We start from the raw sequence: 16,133 nt of genomic DNA, 5'->3' as shown, positions 1-16,133 counted from the left end.
GCCTAATTGTTTTGGCTAAGATTTCCAGTACTATGTTGAACAGACGTGGTAAAAGTGGGCATTCTTGTCTTGTTTCTGATAAAAAGCTTTCAGTCCTGAGTATGAGTATGATATTAGCTGTGGGCTTTTCATATATGACATTTATTATGTTGAGTTTCCTTCTGTTCCTTGTTTGTAGAGTGTTTTTTTTTAAATCATGAAATGGTGTTGGATTTTGTTAAATGTCTTTTCTGCATCAATTGAGATGATCATGAGTTGTTTTCTTCATTCTGTTAATGTGGTGTATTATATTGATCGATTTATATTTGTTGTTGTTGAACCATCCTTGCATTTTGGGAATAAATCCTTCACGGTCATGGGGTGTAATTCTTTTAGTGTGCTCTTGAATTTTCTTTGCTAGTATTTTGTTGAGGATTTTTGCAACATATTTATCAGGGATATTGGTCTGTAGTTTTAGTGCCTTTGGTTTTGGTATCAGGATAATACTGACTTCATAGTTTGGAGTTTGGAAGTGTTTCTCTTCAATTTTTTGAAGTATGAGGAAGATTGGTATTCTTTTTTAAATGTTTGGTAGAGCTCACCAGTAAGGCCATCTGGTCCTGAACTTTTGTTCATTGGGTGTTTCCTTACTAGTTATAGATCTGTTCAGATTTTTATTTTTTCATGATTTAGAGTTGGTAGGTTGTGTTTCCAGGAATTTAATTTGTCCGTTTTGTCTAGGTTATCCAACTTGGTGGCATACAGTTGTTCATAGTAGTGTTTTATAATCCTTTTTGTTTCTGTAAAATGGGTCATAATGTCCTCGCATTTGAGTCTTCTCTTTTTCTTCACCTAGCTAAAAGTTTGTCAATTTTGTTGATATTTCTGAGGAACCAGCTCTTGTTTTCTTTGATTTTTTTTTCTCTTTTTTTGTATTCTCTGTTATGTTTATCTCTGCTCTAATCTTTATTATTTCTTTCCTTTTGCTTGCTTTGTGTTTAGTTTGTTCTTCTTGTTCTTTAAGGTATAAAACTAGGTTGTTGATTTGAGATCTTAAAATTTGAGCATTTGTAGATACAAATTTCTTTCAGCATTGCTTTTGTTGCATCCCATAAGCTTTGGTGTTTTTATTTTCATTGTCTCAAGTTATTTTCTTATTTCCCTTGTGACTTCTTCCTTGACCCATTGGTTGTTTAAGAATGTACCATTTGATTTCCACATATTTGTGGATTTTAGGGTTTTCTTTCTGCTATGGATTTCTAATTTTATTCCATTGTGATTAGAAAGCTACTTTATATAATTTCAGTCTTTTCAAATGTTTTAAGACTTACTTGTGGCCTAATAGCCTGTCCCAGCGAATGTTCCATATACTCTTGAGGAATATGTGTATTCTGCTTATTGTTGGGTGGTATGCTTTTTGTCTATGTGTTAGGTCCAAATGGCCTATCATGTTGTTCAAGTCCTCTTTTTGAGACAGGGTTTCACTTCTGTCACCCAGGCTGGAGTGAAGTGGTGCGATCTTGGCTCACTACAACCTCTGCCTCCCAGGCTCAAGTGATTCTCCTGCCTTAGCCTGTCAAGTAGCTGGGACTATAGGCGTGCACCACCATGCCTGGCTAATTTTTTGTATTTTTAGTAGAGATGGGGGGGGTTTTACCATGTCGCCCAGGCTGGTCTTGAACTCCTAGACTCGAGCAATTCACCCGCCTCAGCCTCCCATAGTGCTGAGATTACAAGTGTGAGCCACTGCGCCCAGCCTCTGTTTCTTTTTTGATCTAGTCTCTTGCTTTTCTATCAGTTATAGAAAGTGGGGTATTGAAGCCTACTGTTACAGTAGGCCATCTGTTCCTCCCTTCAGTTCTGTCAGTGTTTGTTCATATATTTAGGAGCTCTTATGTTTGCGGTGTGTGTGTGTGTGTGTGTGTGTGTGTGTGTTTGTGTATGTTTATAATTGCTATATCTCATTGGTGAATTGATCCTTTTAAAAATATATAATGTTCTTTGTCTTTTGTACCAGTTTTTGACTTAAAGTCTATTTTGTCTGATATTAGTATAGTCACCCCTACTGTCTTCATTACTATTTGCATGGAATATCTTTTTCTGTCCTTTCTTTGTCAACCTGTGTGTGCTTAGATCTAAAGTGAGTCTCTTGTAGACAGTATGTAGATGGACTCTTTTTTTTAAATTCATTCTGGCAATCTGTCTTGATTTGGGAGTTAAAATTCATTTACATTTAAAGTAATTACTGATGGGGAAGGACTTACTGTTGCCATTTTGTTGTTTTCTGTATCTCTTATAGGCTCTTTTTGTCCCTCATTTACGCCCTTACTGTGTTTCTTTGAGTTCAGTTGATTTTGTTTTTCTTTTTCTTTTTTTTTTTTTTTTTTTGACACGGAGTCTCGCTCTGTCACCCAGGCTGGAGTGCAGTGGCATGATCTCGGCTCACTGCAACCTCTGCCTCCCAGGCTCAAGCGATTCCTCTGCCTCAGCCCCCTAAGTAGCTGGGACTACAGGCACGTGCCACCACGCCCACCCAGCTAATTTTTGTATTTTTAATAGAGACAGGGTTTCACCATATTGGCCAGGCTGGTCTCGAACTCCTGACCTTGTGATCCGCCCGCCTCAGCCTCCCAAAGTGCTGGGATTACAGGTGTGAGCCACCGCGCCCAGCGAGTTCAGTTGATTTTTTTATAGTGGCGTGTTTGGTTCCCTTCTCACTTCCTTTTGTGTATATTCTGTAGATATTTCCTTTGTGTTACCATGAGACTTAGATAAAACATCCTAATGTTATAACAACCTATTTTAAACTGATAACTTTAATTGCATACAAAAGACGTCCTTTACAGCTCCGTCTCTTCTTTATGTTATTGCTGCCACAAATTACATCTTTATATATTGTGTACCCACTAGCAAAGATTTATAGTTTTTTATGCTTTTCTATTTTAAGTCCTGTAAAATAATAAGGGGAGTTACGAACCAAAATTGCAATAATACTGATTTTTATATTTGTCTATGTGTTTACCTTGAAAGGAAAAATGTATATTTTTATACATCTTTGAGTTACTGTCTAGTGTTGTTTACTTACAACCTGAAGGAAGGGACTCCTTTTAACGTTTCTTGCAGGGTAGGTCTAGTGGTAATGAATTCCTTCAGCTTTTGTTTATTTAGGGATATCTTAGTTTCTCCCTTGATTTTGAAGGATAGTTTTACCAGATACAGAATTCTTGGCTGGGCGTGGTGGCTCACACCTGTAATCCCAGCACTCTGGGAGCCTGAGACAAGCTGATCACTTGAGCTCAGGAGTTCGAGACCAGCCGGGGCAACATGGCAAAACTCCATCTCTACAAAAAATAGAAAAATTAGCTGAATGTGATGGCTCATGCATGTAGTCCCAGCTGCTCAGGAGGCTGAGGTGGGAGGATCCCTTGACTACAGGAGGTAGTGTAGTACTGCAGTGGGCTGAAATCACACCACTGCACTCTAGCCTGGGTGACAGAGTGAGACCCTGTCTCAAAAAAAAGAAAGAAATCTTGGTTGACAGGTTTTTCTTTCATCACTTTAAATATATCATTCTATTGCCTTCTAACTGCAGAGTTTCTGCTTAGATTGTCCTGGCAGGGGTAGAGAGAGACTACTAGTAAAGTACTGTACAGTTTTTTGGAAGGCATTGGTAACCACTGTTTATAAACCAAGTCTTCCCCACCTGCCTGTGTACTGTTCCTCTCAGACAGGCAGAAATTATTGAATCAAACTCCATACTGTCTCTTTCTGTGATCTTCCCCTATTGCAGCAGCAGAAGTCCTCTGACGTAAGACTCCCCCTGGAGCAGGTAGAGTGTTGTTTGGAGTGATGTAGATGTCTATTACTTGTACATTAAAGGATTACAGAGATGTTTGGTAAGTCCAAAGGGGTAGGATTACCCAGTGTAGTCATGGGCTAGAAATGTTGCAAAAATACCTGAGCCAAGGTCTCAAGTTGGCTGACTTTGTACTATTAAGCTACAGACATGCACTTCATATGTTCATCAGTTTTTCAATTAGCAATAATCACTCCTTGAGTAAACCTCATTGGCTATGATACTGCCACTGCGCAAAGCTTGTTCATCAGTTTTTGAAGAAAATGGAGTATGTCACAGGATTACTTGCGTGCCTTGTTTTAAGCAAGCTCAACATATAAAAGTAATGGTTTCACCAAAACTTGAAGGTTATTGTTTGGTAAGAGATTCAGCAGAAGACTTTAAAAACATTTTTGTTACTTTAAAGAAGGACTCGAATTACAAAGTTTGAAGAAGCAACTAGTAAAAACACCACTCACTTTAGAAGAAGAGGGTTTAGGTCTGTTCTCCCAAAGACTGGTTCTTACAAAACCCAGGGTCCTGGGCCCAAAGGTTCTTTCTGTGTCATAACTGCTTAAAAATGCGAGAGGAGAGATTCAGGGTGTGTCAGTCCCAAGGACAGACAGCTAGATATCCTTTGGTTCTACTTGACCTGGGTAGCAGTGGGCGAGGCTTTAGGGAAAACACTTTGTAAATTTTATTATGATGGCATGTAAACACACAGGACTGGCAATAAAGTGACCTGGAGTTTGGTCTCCAGTATGAGAGGATCTCTTTTGGGCAAAGGATGATATTGCCACACAGTCAGGAGAGGGGATGAGCCTGATCTTTGAGTTTGCAGGGGGAGTGATTTATTTGTAATTCTTTATTTTATGATTTTTGTGCAAGAAGTTAAGTATTTTGGCTAGAGATAGCATGGAAATTGAGTGAGTTCCCCAGACCAGTTCTATGTAAGACCAGCAGAGAAGGTTAGGTCAGTGAGCACTGGTGTTTCGAAGGCTCTCCTGGAAGTCAATCAATGTAGTCATGAGCAGCAATTCCAAGCTGGCCTCTACTAAAAACCAGATCAGGGAAAAAGTAGGGCCCAGGTCAAAGAGACTGTGAGCTCCCTGGGGCAGGGACCAGGTCTGTCTGATTGTCTCTATTTGGCTTGTTGAACTGAACTAACATATAGCACTTGTCATTTGACACCGATTATAATTCTGTGAGATGATATTTGCATCTTAGATGAGGAAAATGTCCCATAGAGACCAAGATGCCTCCCATCTACAGAGTGGCTGAGTCAATTCAAGCTCAGGTCTCCTGATTCCAGATCCTGTGTGCCTTCCTGATCACCATATCAGCTAGATCTTTTCTATGTAGAGTATGCAATAGCTTTTATTCAGACTTTTCATTCCTTGGCTTTTATTTTCTGATCTTTCTTAATTATTGCTATTTTGTTTTTATCGAGGAAATCAGAGAGAAAGCTATGAGACAGTTAAAGCCTGTTAAGGGTTTATTGAGAATATAATGATATTCAATATGAAATAAAAATCAAATACACTAGAATTGCAGCATAATCATACCTTAGAGTTACTATAAGATTAAGTTGGAATCGAGTTGATCTTATAGTAATGAATTTTCTTTTTTAAAGCTTTTTAGAGCAAAACCTAATCAATCCCATAGCATGAGGGACAAAACCTATGTCAATCCCATAACATAAGTGGCATATAAGGAATATCCTGTGCATTTCTCTACAGAAAGGGAAAGGAAGCAGAACAGACTTTGTGCCTACCAGGTGTTGGGCCCAAGTTGTTGGGTCTTACTATGACCTTTACAAGTATTACCCTCAAGTTTTCCAACAAGTGGTCATCATTACCTTTCTATAAGTGGGAAAAATAGATTTAAAGTAAGTGGCTACCCAGAGTCACACAGTAAATAGCAAGCAATCCATGGATCTAAACTGAATTATTTCTGCCTCCAGTGCTCTCAGTTATGCTGTGGTGTTTTCTGGATGAAATACTAGGATTTAAATATATGCTTAGAGTTTTTGTGTCAAACCTTAAGTTGCTCTTGTACTTTGTTAAACTTGTACCATCTGAAATGAACACCTGTATCCATTCTCTTTCAGGTTTTGCTGTTACTGCTCAGTGTAGTCACACCTTGAATAAGAAATGGAAAACCTTGGGATGTTGATAAAGCTAATATCCTGAGGAAGAACTTCAGTGGGTCCCAGCTGAGTAGGAGATGGGATTCAACAGTACTGGTACGTAGTTAGGCAATAATCCTCCTCAGGCATCACATTCATTGATTTTTGTTGGGCCTGGGGATCCTGGGAAAAAGTTGGGAACTTTGTGCACTCTTGGCTTTGACTACTGACAGGTCTAATGTGCTGGAGTGGCCCAGGCGGAGGCCCACTTGCAGAGACTAATGGGAGCCTCAAGAGAAAATCTACCATAAGAAAAGGACCAGTCTGATAGCAAGCCCAGCTTCCCAAGAAGATAGAAGGTTGGAGGCAAGCTGCTGTCCAGGTATGTCCCAAACCAGCCAACTTGAAGGTAAGTTTGCTCCCTGGGGAGAGAAGGGCTCTAGGTGTGAACTAAAAGCTGTGTCCATAGACACTGTAACACTGGAGTTCAAAAAATGTTGCTGTGGAACGGCCCTTCTCATCCAAACCCAGACGGAATGTTCTCACCTGCCAAGAGTAGTGTCTTGTATTGAGGCACAGTGGTAGCTTTCTGGATCCACAGGCAAGGCCCTGTGGAGTCTCAGAATAATGATAAATCCTCTGGATGACCTAGGGGCTGGTGAGGTGAGTGGAGCACCCTACTGTGGTGTGTCTGTAGGACCACTGGAGCCTGATGCTGCCAAAGCATGACCTGACCAGCCCTGGCAACTGGTTTAGGATCATACAACCATGCACATGCCCCTAGGATTCCTAGAAATACTAAGGGGAAAAGGATTTTCCCGGAGCTGGGACATTCTACATTTGCACAGGTGAGAACTCAAACCATTGAGATTTAGATATTAATGTAAAACAACTTCATTTGTACTCATTAAGACTGAGTAAGGCTAGGACTTTTCCTTTCTGCTGCATTTTAACATAGGTAGGAGGACAGGATTTTCAAGATGCCCAAGAAAGTAATCAAGCAATAATCATGCACATCTTCATGAAGGAATGGTAGAGCCCCACATGACCCACGATCTGCACCCCACAGGACCCCCGCCCCACTGCTTCTCTGCCCTCATCTCGTAGCACTCCAGCCCCGGCCCCCGCTGGCTGGCCTCCCGTGCAGCACGCTCTCCCCTCAGGGCCTTTACACTTGGCTTCTCCCTTGATCTGGGTTGTGCTCTTCCCTATCTTCCCACCCTCTAATGTCCATGTGCCTTCTTCCTCACTTTCTTCAGCTCTCTGTTCAGACGTCACCTTTTCTGTGAGGCCTTCCCTGACCTAACATAAACAGCAACAAGGTCAGTCTCAGTGGCTCACGCCTGTTATTCCAGCACTTTGGGAGGTCAAGGCAGGCAGATCACCTGAGGTCAGGAGTTCGAGACCAGCCTGGCCAACATGGTGAAACCCCGTCTCTACTAAAAATACAAAAAGAATTAGCCGGGTATGGTGGCGGGCGCCTGTAATCCCAGCTACTTGGGAGGCTGAGGCGGGAGAATCACTCGAACCTGAGAGGTGAAGGTTGGAGTGAGCTGAGATCGCGCCATAGCACTCCAGCCTGGGTGACAGAGTCAGACTCCATTTTGAAAAAAATAAAATAAAAAAAGAGCAACAACTGCTTCTTGCCTTGTTACCCCTAATCTGCTTTATTTTTTCCCAAAGCACTTTGCATTATCTAGTATACTATACATGTGGTTGTTTATTGAGTGTATCCTCCTCATTAGAATGGGAGCCCCATGAGGGCAAGAACTCCCTCTGTTTATTCACAGATGTATCCCCAGCAGCCAGCACATTGTCTGTCACACAGTACATGTTCGATACATTTCATTAATGAATGATCATACTTCCTCCCTTTTTTGTTAATTAACTAATTCAGTGAACACTGAGCTCTACTAAGTGATGGATACTACTGAATAGCAGAGAACCAAAGATGAACAAGATAGCCTCTGCCCTTAAAGAGGTCACAGTGTGAGGAGGGAGGCAGAATGGTGCCTCCTGACTATAAATGCAGTGTGGTAGATTTCACTGGGGACACAGCTGGAGGAGATTGGGGAAAGCTTCGTGGAGGAGTTGCTGTCCAGTTGACTCATGAAGGGTGAGGAAAATTATGATGTGTGAACATTTGTTGAGTGCTTACCATCTCTCTGCTAAGCAACTTAAATATAGCATTATTTAACGCCGTGAACAGGTGTATAACATAAGTACTGATATTATTTTTACCTTACGGTTGAAGAAGCAGGCTCAGAAAGGACCAAGGTTTGAAGCTACCACTGGTGGAGCTAAGGTTCAGACCTGGTTCTTCCTGGTTTCACATCTCATGCTTTAACCATGTGCTGGGCAGACAAGAAAGAAAGACACTGTGAGCAGAAGAAATAATCCATCTCAAAAATGGAAACTTCATGGTGTGTATTCAGGGAACCCCAGGAATTCCAGGGAAGAGATGAGGCAGGAGTCTACCTCACCCAGAAGGTGAGATACAGGCCACAGATATTTCATACCTCTGCCTCCTGATTCCTTCTTCCTTCCAGGATAGCTTGCTTTTGTTACTGTATCGAGTGTCTGAATATACTTTGATCTGAAGAAAGAATTCTATGATTGAAGCAAGGGATGGTCCATGTGGTTATAGTAGCCCAGATGGGATGGGGGTCCTTCAGTAGGACAGTAACTGGAGTAACTGGGAAAATGAAGGGGAGATGACAGATAGCGAGGACCTTTAGAGATAGGACTGCTAGGACTTGGTCGCCATTGGCTGTTAGAGAGGCAGGAGGCTAGGCCTGGGTGAGTGGTGGAGCAACAGTGCCAGTAACAGAACACTGTGTATGAGAACGTTCCATGGGAGTGGGAGATGAAAAGTCAGGCAGTTTTGGAGCCCCTGTGGCTTGTCGAGCCAGGGAGATGCCCCATCCTGATTGGGATGTGTAAGGCTGGAGCTCCAGGTAGAGTCACAGAGCTAACAAACTTCAGCTTCTTTCAAGTTAATGCCCAGGAAGAGAGTCTAGAGAAAGACCAGCAGTGAGCTTGGGAGCAGCAGCTGTGGACACTGGGAATCTCCTCAGCACTGACAGTTCTGGACCAGAACTACGTTGCTTCAGATCCCTTGTGAAGTCATGATTGGACAAACATATTATCTAAACCATTCAGGGAATTTTTTGAAATTTCCTAATTAAAGGAAGTTATCTGGGTAAATGAGTTCTCCTTGAAGCATTTTCTTCTATCAGTGTGTGGGTAAAATGGCAGTGTGCGAAGTCCCTTCAGTCAAGCAGGGTTCTCTGTAACCCTTTTTTTTCTTTCTTTCTTTTTTCCCCCCAGTTAATACCTTGATTGCATTTTTTAAAATATAGTCTTACTAGATTTTTTTTTGTAGAAATGGAATCTCACTATGTTGCTCAGGCTAGTCTCAAACTCCTGGCCTCAAGTGATCCTCCACTTCAGCCTCCCAAAGTGCTGGGATTACAAGTGTGAGCCAATGTATCCAACCCTTTGTAACCTTTGATCCAGCTACTTTTTTCATTCCTAGTTATTTTCACAACCCTGTCTGGAAGATCACAGCCTCAGTGATCTTCCTTATTGATGAACTACCACTGGAAACGAGTACAGACCCATTTTGGCCCAGCCTTCTTCTGAGTGCACAGTGCCCACCAGGAACAAAGTGTCCAGGCAACACCCAGCCAGGAGCCTCCACTTCAGAATGGAAGCCAGCACAAAGCTTGCCGTCAGTAAGGTTCCTGGAGGAACTGGGAAACAGGGCTGAGGGAAGAGAAAGAGCCCCAGCGACTCACTGTCCTTGTCCTCCCGTTCTAGATCAGTACAGTCCCAGCTTCTGGTTTGGGAAGGGAGGGGAAGAACATGTTTGCCCCAGACCACACCCCACCTCCGGCCAAGCAGGGCCGTGGCACTATTGCAATGAGGAAGGAATGAACATTCTTCAGGGTGGTCTTATCGTCTACTCATGCAGGAGCCCATCCGGATCACTTAAGAGTAGAGAACAGGAGCAAGAATAGAAGTAGCAAGGGAAAGTGCTTTGGGGTCATGTGACCCTGAGTCTTATCCTTTCTGCACCTATGGGCTATCTGGCCTAGGGCAAAAGTCACTTCACCCCCATGAGCTTCAGTTTTCTTCTCCCTGAGAAAGACGTCAGATGTCAGTGCACAGAGAGGCCATGGGGATGGATGTGCCCAGCAGGATGCCCAGCATCCAGTAGGTGCCTAATAGGTAGGGCTCCCTCATTGTGGTTATCCTCCAAGTGACTGTTATGTTTTTGATCTGCTTAACTTGGCACTGGATTTGGTGATGTGTGAACTTGTATTTCCCTTCCCACAGTTCACAGTAGTGTAAGGATTATGTGCTCAGGCTCTGGAGTTTAACCAGACCTAGCCTCAGATCCTGGCTCCAATAGTTTACTAACTCTTTGACTTTGAATAAGTCATTTCCCTAATTGGTCTCTGTGGGAGTAATAATAGCACTTACCTTATAGAGGTGTTGTTAGAAGAAAATAAGATATTATGTGTGGGAATTGTTTGGCATATGGTAAACATTCAAATATTGTGGTATCCATCTTGGTGAAAATTGCCACCCTTCAAGGGCATATACTTATTCCAAATTGAGCACTTTCCATGGCTCAAAATATGTAACAAATGTATTAGTTCATTTTCATACTGCTGATAAAGACATACCCAAGACTGGGTAATTTATACAGGAAAAAGGTTTAAAGACTTCCAGTTACATATAGCTGGGGAGGCCTCACAATCATGGCAGAAGGCAGGAGGGGCAAGTCACGTCTCACATGAATGGCTGCAGGCAAAGAGAGAGCTTGTGCAGGAAAACTCCCGTTTTTAAAACCATCAGATCTCATCAGACTCATTCACTACCCGAGAACAGTGGAGGAAAGACCCACCCCCACAATTCAATCACCTCCTACTGGGTTCCTCCCATGACGTGGGAATTGTGGGAGATACAATTCAAGATAAGATGTGGTTGGGGACACAGCCAAACCATATCAACAAGTCTTTTTTTTTTAGTAGAGGCAAGGTTAGTCCCACTATGATGGCCCAGGCTGGTCACCAACTTCTGGGCTCAAGCAATGCTCCTCCAGCCTTGGCCTCCCAAAGTGCTGGGATTATAGGCATGAGCCACCACACCCATCCAGTTAACAAGTCTTAACATTGCCTTAAGAGTCTTTTGAATGTCTATAAATGGTAAAACAACCAACTAGCCAAAAACCTTTGCTCTTTCAAGAAAGAGCAGGTTTGGAGTAATAGCTATGTGATTCCAAGCCAAATATGCTGATTCAGATAATTAGTGAGTCAAGATAATTACCTTTGGGGTCAAAGTAATGTGCTTCTTGTAACTCATGAAGATGCACCCAGAAGAGGCCTCCAGCAGAGTGGGCAGCAGCTGTGCTGCGGGAGCCCGAGCTTGCAGCCTCCGGAGCAGGCACTTCTCGGCTCTATACCATTCACCCCCATGTGGTTTTTACATTATTACTTTTTAGATGGAAAGTAACCTCCTCATGGTTAAAAAAAGAAACAGTTCAAAAGGGTAAGAAAAATCTCCCTACCACAGGGAGGAAATCAGTTTCTGCTCTCTTATAGGACTGTCCGTAGCTATAAAGTCCCTTTTTAAAAGCATATGGGGCCTGGCATGCACACTGCTGTACGCCTTTCTCTTCCCACTCATCACACTGCTGACAAAGATCTCCTGAGTGGGAGGCTTTGAAGCACTGCCCCCACAGAGAGGTACATGATACCCAAGAAATGCCCAGGGCTGGCTTTGGGGCCCCCAGATTCTTAAACGCTGCCAGAGCATGTAATTGCCCCAGTTCCTTACTCTAAAATTCCTATTTTCTGGCTCTCTGACTTGTTTTGTTTTTGTTTTTTTGAGACTGAGTATCTCTCTGTTGCCCAGGCTGGCGTGCAATGGCATGACCTCCACTCACTGCAACCTCCACCTCCTGGGTTCAAGTGACTCTCCTGCCTCAGCCTCATGAGTAGCTGGGATTACAGGCATGCGCCACCATGCCCAGCTAATTTTTGTATTTTTAGTAGAGATGGGGTTTCAGTGTTGACCAGGCTGCTCTTGAACTCCTGACCTCAGGTGATCCACCTGCCTCAGCCTCCCAAAGTGCTGGAATTACAGGTGTGAGCCACTACCCCCAGCCCTGGCTCTCTGAGTTTTAAACCACTTTCTTCAAATTTTGCTGCCAACTCTAATAGTTAGACTTCTTTTGGAGGGTGAAAGGAAGGCAGGAGACTGGGAGGAGAGAAAAGAAAATGGGCGGGTTGGGGGGAAGAAAAAGGGAAAAAAGAAAACCTTTTACATTACAAGGGTAACTACAAAAATGACAACTGTGTCAAAACAACAAAACCAGGTTGAGACCGCCTGGATGCCTGTGGTCAACCGAGTTTGCCCAGTAACTCTGGGACTCAGGGAGAGGGAGGATCTGCGAAAGAAAGCCACTCCTACCTCCTAGGTTTGTGGATTACAGGCAATGGTGTCGGTAAGAGGCCCAGTTCCGGGGATTCCCAGGGCGGATGCTAGAACAAGAACTCTATATCCAGCTGTCCAGGGTCTCACAGCAATAAGTGGTCAAGTCATGGATTTACATCTGACTCCAAAGGCTTTTCCATTACCCACTCATCTCCCATTTCCTTCAGTGGATAGGAGGGCCCAGGAGGGCCTGGAAGCCTGGGCTGAGTGAGTACTGTCAGCCACAGCTGGAGAGAGGCCACACACAGGCCCATCCACCCAGTGTGACGCGGTAAGGCGCCCCGCCCCCCAGGCCATGTGCAGAGGCGACCACCCAGCATCTGCTGATTAAGCTGCTACTGTAGAAGTCCCTGTTTTGGTCTTCCTAAATCAGGGCCTGGGAAAAAGACATGAAGAGGTTTCAGTCCTCCATTTTCCCAGAACAAAAGACTTTTCCTGTCCACATCATATCACTGGCCCGGAATGCATCCGCTGCAACCTCAGCGCCTTCAGCACGATGCAGCACTGCCAGCCGGCCTGGCTCGAGGAGCCTTGGCCAGGATTTACCACCTGCCCCACGTTTTTGAGGATTTCATCACGTGGTGTAATATGATTGCAATACAATTCTTGAAAGATATTGTTTTTACTTTAGCTTTTTCTTTTAATGTAACAGCTTTACTGAGATTTAATTCACATGCTGCAGTCATTTTAAAGAGGTAATTCCATGGTTTTTTTTTTTTTTGTATATTCACAGTTATGTAACCATCCCCACAATCCATGTTTAAATATTCTTATCACCCCAAAAAGAAGTCCCATAACACTCCCCATTTCCCCTCCTACCAGTCCTCAGCAACCACTGATCTACTTTATGGATTTGATTATTCTTTACGCTTAATATAAATGGAATCCTACAATGTGTCGCCTTTTGTGTCCGGGTTCTTTCCCTTTGTATAAGCTTTTCTAAGGTCATCCATATTGTAGCATTTCTTGTAATGACTGAATAATATTCATTTTATGGATATGCCACATGGTGCTTATGCATTCATTAGTTGATAAACATTTGTGTTCACACTTTTTTGGCTGTGATCAATAACGCTGCTATGAACATTCATGTACAAGTGTTTGTGTGGACATGTTTTCAGTTCTCTTGGGTTTATAACTAAGAATGGAACTGCCAGATCATATGGTAACTGCATTTTTAACCTTTTGATGAACTGCCAAACCATTTTCCAAAGCAGCTGCACTGTTTTACATTTCCACCAGCAAATGTCCACCGGCAAACGTTTGAGGATTCCCATTTCTCCACATCCTCACACTTTTTTTCTGTAGGTTTGTTTTCTGTTATTGTTGTTTCAGCCCTTGCAGTAGATGTGAAGTAGCATCTCATTGTGGTTTTGACATTTCCCTGATGGCTAATGATGTTGAGCATCTTTTCATGTGCTCTTTGGCCGTTTGTATCTCTTCTTTGGACCAATGTCTATTCAGATTATTTGCCCATTTAAAACATTGGGTTATTTGTCTTTTTCTGGTGGAGCATAGGAGTTCTTTATAAATTCTGTATATAAGCTCCTTAGGTAAAGGATTTGCAAAAATGATCTCCCATTCTATGGATTGTCTTTTTACTTTCTTCATAGTATCCTTTGAAGCACAGAAGTTTTTAATTTTTATGGAATTCAGTGTATCTATTTTTTTCTTATTTGCCTGTGTTTTTGGTGTAATAACTAGGAATCCATTGCCTAATGCAAGATTTACTCCTGTGTTTCTTCTAAGAGATTTTACAGCACTGTTGCATTAATTTTTGTATATGGCATGACGTAGGGGTCCAAAATCATTCTTTTGTATGTGACTATACAGTTGTTCCAGCTTCATTTATTGAAAAAACTCTTTCCTTCATTGAATGGTCTTGGCACCCTTGTCAAAATTTAATTGAACTTTGATAGCAATAACTGTGTCAATATTGACTTATTGATTGTAACAAATGTACCACACTAGTGCAAGATGTTAATACTATAGGAAACTGTGCATGGAGAGGGGGACATATGGAAATTCTCTGTACTTCCTGCTGAGTTGTTATTTTATTTTATTTTTATTTTTGAGACAGGGTCTCATTCTGTTACCCAGGCTGAAGTACTGGGGCACAATCACAGCTCACTCCAGCCTCGACTTCCTGGGCTCAAGCAATCCTCCCACCTCAGCCTCCCGAGTAGCTGGGACTACAGGCACACACCACCATGCCTGGCTAATTATTTCCATTTTTTGTAGAGATGGAGACGGGGTCTCACTATGTTGTCCGGGCTGGTCTCAAACTGCTGGTGTCAGGAGATCCTCTTACCTCAGCCTCCCAAAGTGCTGGGATTACAGGTGTGAGCCACCTTGTCCGGCCATCAATTTTTCTGTAAGCCTAAAATTGCTTTAAAAATAGTCTGTTTAACTTTTAAAAATAAATTGAACATATATGTGTAAGGGTTTATTTCTGGACTTTCCATTTTATTCCATTTATCTGTATGTCTGTCCTTTTGCCAGCGACACGCTCTCTTGATTATTATAACACTGTAAGAAGATTTGAAATCAGGAAGTGTAAATCGTTCAACTTCATTCTTTTGCAGATTGTTTTGGCTGTTCTGAGTCCCCCAAAGTTCTATATGAATTGTAGGATCATCTTGTTGATAGCTGCAAAGAAGCCAACTGGGATTTTGATAGGGATTACATTGCATCTATAGATCAATTTGGGTTTGGGGCATGTTGCCATCTTGACAATATATACTTTTTTTTTGAGATGAGGCCTTGCTCTGTTGCCAGGCTGAGTATAGTGGTGTGATCATAGCTCACTGCAGCCATGAACTCCTGGGCTCAAGCGATTCTCTCCTCAGCTTCCTGAGTAGCTGGGACTATAGGTGCATGCCCCCACGCCCAACACCATCTTAACTGTTAAGTCTACAGACTTACGAATATGGAATGTTTTTCCATTTTATTTAGATTTTCTTTAATTTTGTTCAACAATTGTAGTTTTCAGAGTACACGTTTTGCATTTTTTGTTAAGTTTATTCTTAAGTATTCTTTCTGATGCTATTGTAAATGTTGTTTCTTAATTCCATTTTTAGATTTTTCAATATTGTATAAAATACTGTTGGTTTTTCTGTATTGATCTTGTATCCTGCTTGCTTGCTGAACTTGTTTATTATTATTATTATTAATTATTTTTTTTTTGAGATGGAGTCTCGCACTGTCACCCATGCTGGAGTGCAGAGGTGCAATCTGGTCTCACTGCAACCTCTGCCTCCCAGGTTCAAGTGATTCTCCTGCCTCAGCCTCCCAAGTAGCTGGGATTACAGGCATGCACCACCATGCTCAGCTAATTTTTGTATTTTTAGTAGAGACGACGTTTCACCATGTTGCCCAGGCTGGTCTCAAACTCCTGGCCTCAAGTGATCCACCCACCTTGGCCTCCTAAAGTGCTGGAATTACAGGTGTGAGCCACTGCACCTGGCCTGAACTTGTTTATTAATTATAATACTTTTTTAGTTGATTCTTTAGGCTTTTCTATATGCAAGATCATATCTTCTGCAAATAGAAATAAATTTACTTCTTCCTTTCCAATCTGGATGAATTTATTTCTTTTGCTTGCCTAGTTGACTGGAACCTTCAGTATAGCAATGAACAGAAATAACAAGCACATACGTACATTTTAATCTTGTTCCTGAAGTT

The 16,133-nt window shown here is 42.3% G+C and overlaps 1 pseudogene, besides 1 other annotated feature; it reads right to left on the bottom strand.

The window, feature by feature from the left end:
- RNU4-48P (RNA, U4 small nuclear 48, pseudogene) lies at positions 3,895-4,076 on the bottom strand (annotated as a pseudogene).
- Positions 12,104-12,711: an enhancer, noted in NCBI's record as "H3K27ac-H3K4me1 hESC enhancer chr2:128221175-128221782 (GRCh37/hg19 assembly coordinates)". NCBI's record gives its function as "activates a minimal SCP1, AML or CMV promoter by ChIP-STARR-seq in naive H9 embryonic stem cells {active_cell/tissue: H9 hESC(naive)}" and the evidence as "EXISTENCE:reporter gene assay evidence [ECO:0000049][PMID:30033119]".

The sequence above is a fragment of the Homo sapiens genome, chromosome 2 (assembly GCF_000001405.40).
Source record: "Homo sapiens chromosome 2, GRCh38.p14 Primary Assembly".
Taxonomy (NCBI): Eukaryota; Metazoa; Chordata; class Mammalia; order Primates; family Hominidae; genus Homo; species Homo sapiens.
This window is presented reverse-complemented; position numbering and strand designations above follow the sequence as displayed.